Source organism: Homo sapiens, chromosome 1, assembly GCF_000001405.40.
Source record: "Homo sapiens chromosome 1, GRCh38.p14 Primary Assembly".
Taxonomy (NCBI): Eukaryota; Metazoa; Chordata; class Mammalia; order Primates; family Hominidae; genus Homo; species Homo sapiens.
In genome coordinates this window covers 235,754,877-235,767,546 of record NC_000001.11, presented here as the reverse complement: position 1 = coordinate 235,767,546, position 12,670 = coordinate 235,754,877, and the positions used below count along the sequence as shown (strand labels likewise).

Sequence of the window (12,670 nt, the reverse complement as noted above, 5' to 3'; positions counted from 1 at the left end):
GCTGCAACCAAGAAAGTTAAGAAGATACATGGAGTATGGTTTAGAAGAAATGCAGATGGTTGTAGCAGAAATAGTTCTGAATTGGAAGTCGGGAGATCTATGTTCCTGTCTTAGTCTTTGCCACTTGACAGCTATGAGAACTTGGCAAAGGAGTTTTGTGTTTTCTTCTGTAGACTCAGTGTTCCCTTCTTAAATCTGAGGTAGTCGAACTAAATTGTTTCAAAATTAACATCTACATTTTAAGTACTCCAATTCAGTAATACCCAAGAGTAAATGAAGAGTGGATGTAGAGATATATATTTGGACATATGAAGAGGGAAGATGAGGAATTTTACCTCCCATACCCTTAATCTGGAGGCCAGCTGCTACCCACTGGGGAGATGGAATTGGAGGATATAAGCAATTTATTTATATACAGCTTTATTTTTAGTAATTAGTTGGCATTTTGCCAAGCCTCATTATTCCAGACAGTAAATGGTGCAGTAGAAAGAGTTCAGAGGCCTGAGTTTGAGTTATAATTGTACTACCTACATATTTTATGTGTGGTTTACACTAGTCAAATAACCTCTTTGTGCCTCATATTCTAGAAATGAGGGCTAAAACCTCTCATAGAGCTGTTGTGAAAAAAAGCTTTGTAAACTGGAGCATATTGTATTAGTATAACGAGTTTTGTCCATCAAAAGTTTTCTGTCCTAATCCTATACTAATATTACTAATAGTAGTAGTAGTAAAAGGAGAAGAAAAGATAGTAGCAGTAGTAATAGTAGTGATTGTAGTTTATCACTAACATTTATATGGGGCTTACCTATATGCAAGGCACTATTCTAAGAGTTTATGTTATTTAGTCCTTATAACAACCCTATAAAGTAGCACTAGTATTACTCACATAGACAAAGAAAGTGAAGCATGCAGATGTTAAGTAACTTACCTAAGATCACATGGCTAGTGAGTGGAGAAACCAGAATGCAAACCTAGGAAGTCTGGCTTTTGAGACCACGCTTGTGAGAGTTATATAAGTTTGCCTCAGTTAATTAAGATACATGGGCTAGAATTAAGTTGCCATCTGTGTTAATGAATTTTTAATAACAAGATTGCTTGAATTAGGAAATAACTCAATTTAATGAGTTGTTATGGTAATGGTAAGTATGATCAGACTAGAGTAGTAAACCAACAGAATTCTATCTTAAAAAGAATATTTTGCCTAAATGAAAAATCTTAGTTAAGTTGACAATTCTTTAAATCTAAAGAGAGTTTTTTTTATTTTTTCAGGAATACAAAGAGGGGCAACTCACACCCATGCCCCGAGAGGTTTGTAGATCATTTGTGAAAATTATAGCAGAAGTCCTTGGATCTCCTCCAGATTTGGAATTATTGACAATTATCTTCAATTTCCTTTTAGCAGTTCACCCTCCTACTAATACTTACGTTTGTCACAATCCCACGAACTTCTACTTTTCTTTGCACATAGGTAGGTATAATCATTTTTGTTAGATCATGGCTATTTCCACTTTTGTTTTATTCTTCCCACTTGATTCACATTTGTTTGACATTTGAATGGCCTCTGTGCTGCTCTAATTACATATTGGGGTTGGGATAGGGCAGAGAGTTATAGAATGAACTAGACATGGCCTCTGTCCTCAAGGAGTCTAAATGCCAAGTGGAGAAAGGAGACATAGACTCAAATAACTACAGTAAAAAAAAAAAATGTGTATTTGGTAAGTATCAAAGAGACACAAAAGAAGAACTAATGAGATTTCAGTGGACAGAGGGTTTCATCCGACCACTGTGGAGAGAATATTTAATAGGTTACATGACATCTGATGTAGACATTGAAGATTTTGAGTAGAATTTGATAGGTAGATTGGAGAGTTAGTGTTCCAGGTAAAGACAATGACTTTAAAGGGAGGATAAAAGGAAATAGAAAATAAGGACTAATGAGTTTTACCTATATATAGGGGATCTGTAAAGGAATAGTGAGAAATAATGCCATAAATACAGTTTAAGACCACCATTTACTTATTTTTACCCTAAAGTCATATCAAATGGGTCCTTGAATGTAAGGCCAGAGAATTCGAACTTGTATTCTAGTTATAGGTCATTGAAAGGGTTTTATTTGTTTGTTTTGAGCAAAGGCTATAAGTAAATTATTGCAGTAGAATTCAGGAATAAGGAACTAGGGGCAGTAAGGCCAATTATAGTAGTCCGTGAGAGACAGGATAACAGAATCTGGGCATAGTAACAGTGGAACTGGAAAGGAGGGATAAATTGAGAAGTGGGAAGTTTAGGATGGAATGACTCTGGAGGTGTTAAGGAAAAAGGATAATGGCTTTGGTTGTATAATATATGTTGTATTTGAGGTGCCCTGCAGTTATTTATAATATAATTTTCTAGTAGGCAATTGGGAATGAGGGTTACAGCATGAAGAAGGAAGGGTAGGTTATAAGGAGCTGTCCACATAGAAGTGAGGTGAAGCTCTGAGAACAGATGAGACCACTGAAGAAAAGTAGAGCAAGAGAAGGAAAGAGAAAGCTAAGGAAAGAACTGCTGGTAGTATTACTAGTTGGAGGGTAGGACAAGAATGAAGAATCAGTAAAAGAGAAAGATGGAATAATCAGTTTTTTTTAAGAACCAGGGAAATGTAATGTAAGAAAGAAAGCAAGAATGTACCTACAAGAAAGCTGAGTCATAAATTTACATTGGAAAACTGGTTGTACAATAGCCATTTTAAGAGATGTAGTAAATGGGGCCAGGCACGGTGGCTCACGCCTGTAATCCCAGCACTTTGGGAAGCCGGGGCAGGCAGATTACCTGAGGTCAGGAGTTCAAGACCTGCCTGACCAACATGGCAAAACCCCATCTCTACTAAAAATAAAAAAAAAATTAGCCTGGCATGGTGGCACATGCCTGTAATCCCAGCTACTTGGGAGGCTGAGGCAGGAGAATGGCTTGAACCCGGGAAGCGGTGGTTGCAGTTAGGTGAGAATGTGCCATTGCACTCCAGCCTGGGTGACAAGAGCAAACCTCCATCTCAAAAAAAAAAAAAAAAAAAAAGAAAAGAAAAAAAAAGAAATGTAGTAAATGAATAAAATAAGCAGCAGTAAATGTCCAAATGAAATTAGATAGCATGACTTTGTGGTAGGCTTAGCACATTTCATGGAAAAAGGACTGTGGATAAAGATTCTGAGAGTGGGTTAGTTACAAAGATGGGTAAAATATGGTCCCCTCTCTTAAGACGTTTACAGCCTAGTTGAGGGAAAGAGGATAAAGAAACGATTATATCATGCCACGTGGAAAGCACAGTGATAAGGCAGTCAACATTTTTGTTTTCTGGTAGCATAGAGCATATGAAGACTGAGGGGGATTTCCCAGAGGAAGTGATGCCTGCCCTGAATCTTAAAGGATGAGTAAGAATCAAAGAGAAAAGGGCCTTCCAGGTAAAGGAAACAGCTTGACAGGGAACTAGGAGAAAGTGGTGTTGCTGAAATGTAATTTATGAAACAAGGCTTGGGAGGGACCTAGGGACAAATAGTGGTAATTCTTGTGGACAAGAAGCTTGGGTTTTATCCAAGGTGGTAAGGAGGCATAGAAAGCCACTGGAAGGTTTTAAGCAGGAGTTGACATTCGAGAGAGAGCGAATTCTGGTAGCTGTGAGGATTTGAGAGTAATGAGATGCTCATCAAGGATACCATTTAGAAATCTGTGATAGTAACCCAGTTGAGAGATGATAAAGCCTGCATTATAGCACTATGGTAGGGAAGAGAAGAGGTCAAGAAACAAAAAATGAAGTCATGCTAGGCATGGTGGTTCATGCTGTAATCCCAGCACTTTGAGAGGCCAAGGTGGGTGGATCACTTGAGGCCAGGAGTTCAACTCCAGCCTGGTCAACATAGCGAAACCTCGTCTCTCCTTAAAAAAAAAAGAAAAAAAAAGTTGCTGGGCGTGGTGGCACATGCCTGTAATCCCAGCTACTCGGGAGGCTGAGGCATGAGAATTGCTTGAACCAGGGAGGCAGAGGTTGCAGTGAGCAAAGATCACACCACCATACTCCAGCCTGGGCGACAGAGCAAGACTGTCTCAAAAAAAGGGAAAAAGTCAGTAGAACCTGGTGACTGATTTGCCATGGATAAAGGAAAGGTAGTGGTCAAGGGTAGCTCCAGGTTACCACATGGGAACTTCCCAAAGAACAAAACAGAAGGAGTAAATTTAGGGCAAAAAGATGATTCGGATTTAGATTTGTTGCATTTGTGATTTGTTTAAGAAACCAAGCAGTTGAATTTATAAGTATGAAGCTCAGAAATGATTAGTTTTTACAAATATTAGACACTGAAGGGGATATATAAAAATAAAAGACACAGTCCTTTCCTCAAGGATGAACAATCTCCCTTGAGAGATGATAATAACATATAAAAGTGAATAGTTAAATGTTAAACCATAGAAATAACTATAAGTACAGTTGGAATTAAGAAAATAGAAGTTAATGTGGCCAGAAATAATAAACAACAGCAAAATCTGTACTAAAAAATTGTGAAGAGTAAGTATTCACATATCGTGTGCCTTAATATAAAGTATGCTATATATTTTTCTCTTTAAACATCTTTTTGTCAAAATTTGAATTTAATGATCTGCTTTTAAAGTTATATTTTCGTTTTATCCTTTTTAAAAATTTTGCTGTTTCAAAAAAAATTTGGATTCTAGATGGCAAGATCTTTCAGGAGAAAGTGCGGTCAATCATGTACCTGAGGCATTCCAGCAGTGGAGGAAGGTCCCTTATGAGCCCTGGATTTATGGTAATAAGCCCATCTGGTTTTACTGCTTCACCATATGAAGGTAAAAATAGCAATAATGGAAGTATGACCTTCTCATTTTAGTTCTGAATATTCTTAGATAATTAAATTGTACATATTTTAGAAGTATATGTAGTACAACCTCATTCAATCTAACAAGAGACACCCAGCACAGGTCCTCAAGAGCATTGAGAAAATGGATGAGGCTCATGCTATCTTGTTCTGGCATTCTCTGACTTCTCTTATCATAGTCATTTGTCTTTCATCAAGCTTCTGATTTATTTTACCATTTTCTTCAGAAGCTTTTTAAAAACTTTTATTCTCTTCTGTCTACCTAAAACCATCATTCTGGACAACTTCACTTGCCAGATAAATGGCCACCCAATACTCCAGCTTCACATTTTTTGACTCAGGGTACCTTTTCTCTACTTTGTCTTACCGCTCTGCATGCATCTGTCTTGGACTTTATCATCATCAAGAATGCTTTCAAGCACCTGTGAAACTACAATATCCCGCTTTGTTCTATCCATATGATCTGTTTTTCAATCACATGCATCACTCTGAAACATTTTCAAATACTGTACAATCATGGCTCCATTTCTTTTCCAAGTCTTTTGAACAGAATCTTTTTTTTTTATAATTACACTTTAAGTTTTAGGATACATGTGCACAATGTGCCGGTTTGTTACATATGTATACATATGCCATGTTGGTGTGCTGCACCCATTAACTCGTCATTTAGCATTAGGCATATCTCCTAATGCTATCCCTCCCCCCTCCCCCCACCCGACAACAGGCCCTGGTGTGTGATGTTCCCCTTCCTGTGTCCACGTGTTCTCATTTGAACAGAATCTTTCTGTATCATTAGCCCTCCAGCCAACCAGAGAAACAGAATCCTTTGGGGGAGTTCTGACATGCTGAAAAAAGGCAAAGGGGATGCATTCATCCTCTCTAATTGACAGCCTCCCATCTTTCTGGTTTTTTTTTGTTTTTTTTTTAATCACACTCCAAAGTTCCCCTTGTCTCGCTTTCCCTATCCAGCCTAGGTCACATTAGCCAATAACTTCAGCAGTTACTCAGTTGGAAAGTATCTCAGTTTCCTTGTCCCCTTAGCCTATTGGTATTCTTGAACTGAAAAATGCTAACCTCGCCTCAGTCTAACCATTGTCATACTGCTGAAAGTTGTAGCAGAGCTTTAAAGGCTGCCCTGTAATTTTTAGGTATGTTCAGAATCAATACCCTCTTCTATTTCCATAGTAAGTGTATTCAAGTCTTTAAGCCTACAGTACTTTTCTATCTTCCTAATTGACTCTTAACAGAGTCTCATCGCTACTTTATAGAAGAAAAGAATAGGTGCAGGTTTTCTAGTTGCAAACTGACCATACATCTTTTCCTTTCCTGACTACTGTCCTTTTCCATACTGGGACATTGCTCTTATTGTCAGTCCAACCTAGTCTTGTCTTTAGCTTCAATCCTAATTATTAAATACTGCAGGTGAGATGGTAATAGAGATAGATAGAACTAGATATATAGGTATTAGTCTCTAGTTTTGTTTTCCTGCCAAAGTGTTTCAGTTATTCTCTAGCACTTTTTATGCTCTTTTATAATAATATTTTAAGGCTATGTTTTTATTAGTTTTCCTTTTCTTTTTAAAAAAAATTTTTTTTAAATAAATGAGATAGGGTTTTGCCTTTTTGCCCAGGCTGGTCTTGAACTCTTGGGCTCAAGTGAGCCACCCACCTCTGCCTCCCAAAGTGCTGAGATTACAGGCTCAAGCCACTGCACCTGGCCTTTTTGAATTAGTTTTATTTGGAATTTTACAGGACATATTTGTTTTTTAAATCATCTGTCATGTTGAAACATTTTCAAATACAATCATACCCCCATTTTTTCCAGATCTTTTGAAGAGAATCTTTTGGCAACTTTAGCCCTCTAGCCCAAATCCAGAAATAACTAGAAAAAGATTCTGAGCTATGGAGCTATTTTATTGCCACAGAGTCTATGCTCTAAAGCAGTTCATTTAATGCCTGTTTACTCTGTGTTCATGGTCTCAAATTTTAACCTGCAAAAGAATCACCTGGAGAGCTGTTGACACTGATTCCTGGGCCCCTCTCTCATACATTCTGTATCAGTAGATCTAGGGTGGAGCCTGAGAATGTGAAGTCCCAACAATCCCACAGGTGGTATTGATGCCCATGCTACCAGTCCACAGACCACACCTTGAATGGCATGCACTTGTATCCCATGCACTACAATGAAAATAATTTTTCTGGTGTCTTCCTGCATAGAATATTAGAAGCAGTAAATTAGAGAGCTGTGACAAGAAAAGAAACTATTCTCACTAATAACAGCAAGAAGTGACTGCAAAAATGGAGGAGAGAGAGAACTGTCTAGGGCTGTTTAGGCTAGTAACAACAAGTACTACCATTTTTTGAGCACCTGTTATATGTTGAGCTCTATGCTAGGTGCATCACAAATATAATCTCAATCTTTAAAGCCACCCTGCAAAGTAGATATTCTGAACCCTCATTTTACATTTGTAGAAACTGTAGTACAATTAAGTGATTTACCTTGGACCACTTCACTATCATTTGAATCCAATTATATCTAGTTGCAAAGCCCACACTCTTTCCACTACATCCTGGTAACTGCTAGCCTGAGGTAAATTGAGTTTCACTTAATTCACTTAAATTCAGCACAGTAGAACCATTAATCCTAATGACTTTGAATCATTCAGTCAATACTGTATTTTGTTAAGAAGACAGGAAAAAACATATGTTTTGGGAAGATATTAATAAAAAGTGGTTAAAATAAAAATAGTTTTGGCATTTAAGAATTTTAAGCATTAAGCCAGGTGTGGGGTGCATGCCTATAGTCCCAGCTGCTTGGAGTCTGAGGTGGGAGGCTGTCTTGAGTCCAGGAGTTAGAGGCTGCAGTAAGCTGTGATTGTGTCACTGCACTTCAGTAGGTAAGAGAGCAAGACCCTGTCTCTTAAGAAAAAGTAAAGGAATTTTAAGCATTAGTTACTTGTAAAATTAACCTATATGGATTTTAACAGTGCTAGATAAATGGGCTTTTGCTGTGGTTGTGATTTATAATGCAAAAGAGAGGTGGTTCCACTTAATAGATTTTTAAGTAGTATTTTTGTATCTACTCTTACCAGGAGAGAATTCCTCTAATATTATTCCACAACAGATGGCCGCCCATATGCTGCGTTCTAGAAGCCTACCAGCATTCCCTACTTCTTCACTACTAACGCAATCACAAAAACTGACTGGAAGTTTGGGTTGTAGTATCGACAGGTTACAAAATATTGCAGATACTTATGTTGCCACCCAATCAAAGAAACAAAATTCTTTGGGGAGTTCCGACACACTGAAAAAAGGCAAAGAGGACGCATTCATCAGTAGCTGTGAGTCTGCAAAAACTGTTTGTGAAATGGAAGCTGTCCTCTCAGCCCAGGTCTCTGTCAGTGATGTCCCAAAGGGAGTGCTGGGATTTCCAGTGGTCAAAGCAGATCATAAACAGTTGGGAGCAGAACCCAGGTCAGAAGATGACAGTCCTGGGGATGAGTCCTGCCCACGCCGACCTGATTACCTAAAGGGATTGGCCTCCTTCCAGCGAAGCCACAGCACTATTGCAAGCCTTGGGCTAGCTTTTCCTTCACAGAACGGATCTGCAGCTGTTGGCCGTTGGCCAAGTCTTGTTGATAGAAACACTGATGATTGGGAAAACTTTGCCTATTCTCTTGGTTATGAGCCAAATTACAACCGAACTGCAAGTGCTCACAGGTACTTATGTGTTTTTGTACACTCCTCCCACCTTTATTTTACTATTCTTTAAAGACTCTCTACCCCTCTGGAAACGTCTTCATTATGCCACTTATAATACAACAAACAGAAAAGTTTATTTCTTTATATACATAATAATAACAAACAGAAAGATATATTTTTCCTTATTTTAAGACTAGATAATATTGAATTCCATATTTAACCAAAATCTAAACCATAAGTAGCACTTAAAAAATATATATTGTGGTTTAATTCCTTATAGTTATTAAGGAAAATTCTTCAGGACAGAGAAACGATAGGATTTATCTAGAGCTTTGACTCATGAGAATGATTCTGTCCACTTGGTGCTCATGTGAAGGTGGGAGTGATTTCTAGACTGGGCCTGTCCTGAGTAACATCTTACTTGATCAGAGACAAGTGACGGCTCCAGAAGGGAAGAGGAACAGGTGTCATAGGGTGGCTGCTCCATTCCACTCAGGTAATTATAATGCAGGTCTTAGTGCTGAACATTGGCAGTTCTTCTCTGGATGAAGTCAGAAGAAAGCTAAAATGGCCTCAGAAAGCAATACCAGTGTTTCCCAGGACAGGCTGTCACCAGACTGCACAGAGTCCTCCATGTTATGACAGACATTGCCTAGGCGTTGTATTTCTTCAGCCATTTTCCTTCTGCTACCCCAGTTTGTTCTCTCTCCAGAAACTTAAGGTTCCTCTGTCACCTGGACACAGATGACCTTGCTTTGGTGATGAGATATCCCCCTTATATTTTCCTCTACTTCTGCTATCGCAGACCCATAACTTTATATGGAGCTGAAATGCAGCAGTGCTAGAGAGCATTCCTTTTATGAAAAAAATCTCCTTTCACCAGGAGCTTCCAGAAGTTTCACCTGGGCTAAACCCAGCAGCATTTGTTAGGATATTTAGATGGAGGTTTTATTTTCACACTTGGTTCTTGAGAGGATATTCTGTAATGCTAGATTCTTCCCCTGTACCAATATTTGCCTCTCTTCTCTGTGAGTGAACTGGGTTTTTCTGACATGCCTAGACTCCTAATAAAGCTGTTTCTTCCTTGGTGAAAAAAAAAAAAAAAACATTTCCAATAGCATCTCAAGTAGCAATGTCCAGTGAAACTTTCTGCAATGATGGACATGTTTTATTCATGCTGTCTAATACAGTCAGCACTAGCCACATATGCCTACTGAGCACTTGAAATGTGGCTGATGCAACTGAGGAACTGAATTTTTAGTTTAAATAAATAGCATAAGTGACAGTGACTACTGTATTAGACATCAGAGATGTACAATTGAATAGTGTTAGTAGACTATATGCCCAAAAAAATCAATGATAAAAAGTGATGGTAAATTTGTTAATCACAGTTAAATTAGGAAACATTTCTTAAGCATTATGAACATTTGTTTCACCTGTTAAAAAATGCTACTACTTGTCACAGTTCCTAAGGTAATCATCAAGTACTTTTCTTGTCATGTTAGTAAGACTTTTTTGGTCTCTGTTTTAGTGTAACTGAAGACTGTTTGGTACCTATATGCTGTGGATTATATGAACTCCTAAGTGGGGTTCTTCTTATCCTGCCTGATGTTTTGCTTGAAGATGTGATGGACAAGCTTATTCAAGCAGATACACTTTTGGTCCTCGTTAACCACCCATCACCAGCTATACAACAAGGTGTTATTAAAGTAAGGGCAAATACTAGATATGTTATTTTAATTCAGAAAAATAAATATATATGTAATTTAAAATTTTGAGTATATACATTAAAGTAGACCTAAATCTCTCTTTTATATTTTAGAATAATGAACTAATATAGTTTGTTACTTAATACTCATATATTTTTAAACTTTTTTTATTTTGATAGCTTTAGGGATACAGGGGTTTTTGGTTACATGGTCATATTTTTGCATCATCCAGCTTTAAGTCCCCCTCCATATGTTGGTTCATATCAATATGTCTTTTAAATCTACCAATAAATCCCCATATCTGAACACTTAGTAAATCTCTTTTGTAAAAATTACAAGGAATACGTGGTTCATTGGAAATCTCTTCTTCAGTGTACTATCAAATTTTAGACATTTACTTCAGCTCTCAGCTTAGATGACACCTTTTCAAAAAGACCTTCCCTGATGATCTTATCAAAATAACTTCCCTCTAATCTTACTTATTATTTATTCTATCATAGCATCCTATTTATGTCTTGTAATTATCTTATTAATCTGTGTACTTGTTTTTTAAATTTCTCACAAATATAAGCTCCATGAGGGTGGGCATCTTGTGTAATAGGTACTAAGTATATTATTGAATGAGTAAATGCTTGATATGAATAGTTTCCATTAGAAAACAACCCAATATTAAAATAATCTTGTAAAGATTCTCATTTTTCTTTAGTTTGCTTGGATGTAGGTATTGTTTAATCACTTGCAATACAACCTAGTATTGAGCTCGCATTTCATGTGTAAGTCCCTGAGCTAGTTGCAATATAGTATATAAAGGGAAATAATATAAGCCCCTACATTCAAGAATTTCACAGTCTAGAAGGGAGAGTCTCATACTTAACTAAGTAAAACGTAAGAAATTCTGTGATGAGTACTGCAGTGGCAGTATTAATAGAGAATTGAGCATAGGGGAAACGGAAGGATTCATGGAAAAAGTATATTTTGTGTTATGCTGTAAACTTAGAAAGCTTTTTTAGTAGGGGAATAAATAGATGTGTGTCTGGGGGAAAGGAGTCTATCACTACTGTGAGAGTCATTGAAGGGGAGAAAGAGGTGGAAGGATTAATTTGGTATTACACGTGTTGCATTTAAGATGCTAGAGAAGGGTGGAAATTCAGGCCTGTGCTCAGGATAAATAATCTGTCAAGAAGCCTAGAAGTAGAGGTCTAGGATAGATATAGATACAGATATAGATATAGATATAGATATAGATATAGATATAGATATAGATATAGATATAGATATAGATTTGCAGAGAGAGCATAGTTTACGGATTTTTTCCCTCTCAGCATTAGGTACAAATATTCTATTTATACTCAACTAAGGCTGCCAGTCTACCAGGTGTCCATGCTCAGCTAAAAATGCCAGTTTCCCCATGAGAGAAACATTAAGATCTCCAAGATGGAGTCATCATTAGCATTCCACAGTAGCCAAAGACAAATTCATTTCTGCTTTGCTGTGGTGGTGGCATTTTTTTAAGCTTTCTGTGTTCTTCTGTACATATGAACTTAATTTACAAATACAGTTGTGTTACACTGATTTGTATATATTATATTTAATTTTAATGCATTATCTAAATTGACTTAAATTTTTTGTTTAGCTATTAGATGCATATTTTGCTAGAGCATCTAAGGAACAAAAAGATAAATTTCTGAAGAATCGTGGATTTTCCTTGCTAGCCAACCAGTTGTATCTTCATCGAGGAACTCAAGAATTGTTAGAATGCTTCATCGAAATGTTCTTTGGTCGACATATTGGCCTTGATGAAGAGTAAGTGTGTTCTTCCCTCCACTATAATTGGGAATCTTTTGTCTTTTTTCTTTTCTTTTCTTTTCTTTTCTTTTCTTTTCTTTTCTTTTGAGACGGAGTCTCGCCCTGTTGCCCAGGCTGGAGTGCAATGGTGCAATCTCGGCTCACTGCAACTTCCGCCTCCCAGGTTCAAGCGATTCTCCTGCCTCAACCTCCTGAGTAGCTGGGATTACAGGCACGTACCACCATGCCCGGCTAGTTTTTTGTATCTTTAGTAGAGATGGGGTTTCACCATGTTGGCCAGGCTGGTCTCAAACTCCTGACCTCGTGATCTGCCTGCCTTGGCCTCCCAAAGTGCAGGGATTACAGGTGTGAGCCACTATGCCTGGCTTTTTTTTTTTTTTTTTTTTTTTTTTTTGAGACAATGTCTCACTCTGTCACCCAGGCTGGAGTGCAGAGAGACACAGTCATGCCTCAGCTCATTGCAGCCTTGAACTCCTAGATTCAAGGGATCCTCCTGCCTCAGCCTCTTGAGTAGCTAAGATTACAGGCACGCACCACCACACTTGGCTAATTTTTTTTACTTTTAGTGGAGATGGGTCTTGCAGTGTTTCCCAGGCTG

At 37.7% G+C, this 12,670-nt stretch overlaps 1 protein-coding gene across 16 annotated transcripts in view, besides 2 other annotated features; it reads left to right on the top strand.

Annotated features, from left to right (window-relative positions):
* The window catches only part of LYST (lysosomal trafficking regulator), a 222,683-nt gene that overhangs the window by 116,167 nt on the left and 93,846 nt on the right, over window positions 1–12,670 (top strand). For 15 of the 16 annotated variants that reach the window (XM_011544032.2, NM_001301365.1, XM_011544031.2 and 12 more), the window contains 5 exons: window positions 1,270–1,468; window positions 4,696–4,827; window positions 7,948–8,575; window positions 10,089–10,266; window positions 11,900–12,069. In XM_011544032.2, the coding sequence (XP_011542334.1) occupies window positions 1,270–1,468; window positions 4,696–4,827; window positions 7,948–8,575; window positions 10,089–10,266; window positions 11,900–12,069 (1,307 nt within the window). Of the gene's footprint in view, window positions 1–1,269; window positions 1,469–4,695; window positions 4,828–7,947; window positions 8,576–10,088; window positions 10,267–11,899; window positions 12,070–12,670 lie in introns of those variants that run through there. The other variant, XM_047443064.1, reaches the window with a different exon arrangement.
* Window positions 3,237–3,316: a silencer, noted in NCBI's record as "silent region_1990". NCBI's record gives its function as "represses an Ori minimal core promoter by ATAC-STARR-seq in GM12878 lymphoblastoid cells {active_cell/tissue: GM12878}" and the evidence as "EXISTENCE:reporter gene assay evidence [ECO:0000049][PMID:35858748]".
* Window positions 3,347–3,466: an enhancer, noted in NCBI's record as "active region_2803". NCBI's record gives its function as "activates an Ori minimal core promoter by ATAC-STARR-seq in GM12878 lymphoblastoid cells {active_cell/tissue: GM12878}" and the evidence as "EXISTENCE:reporter gene assay evidence [ECO:0000049][PMID:35858748]".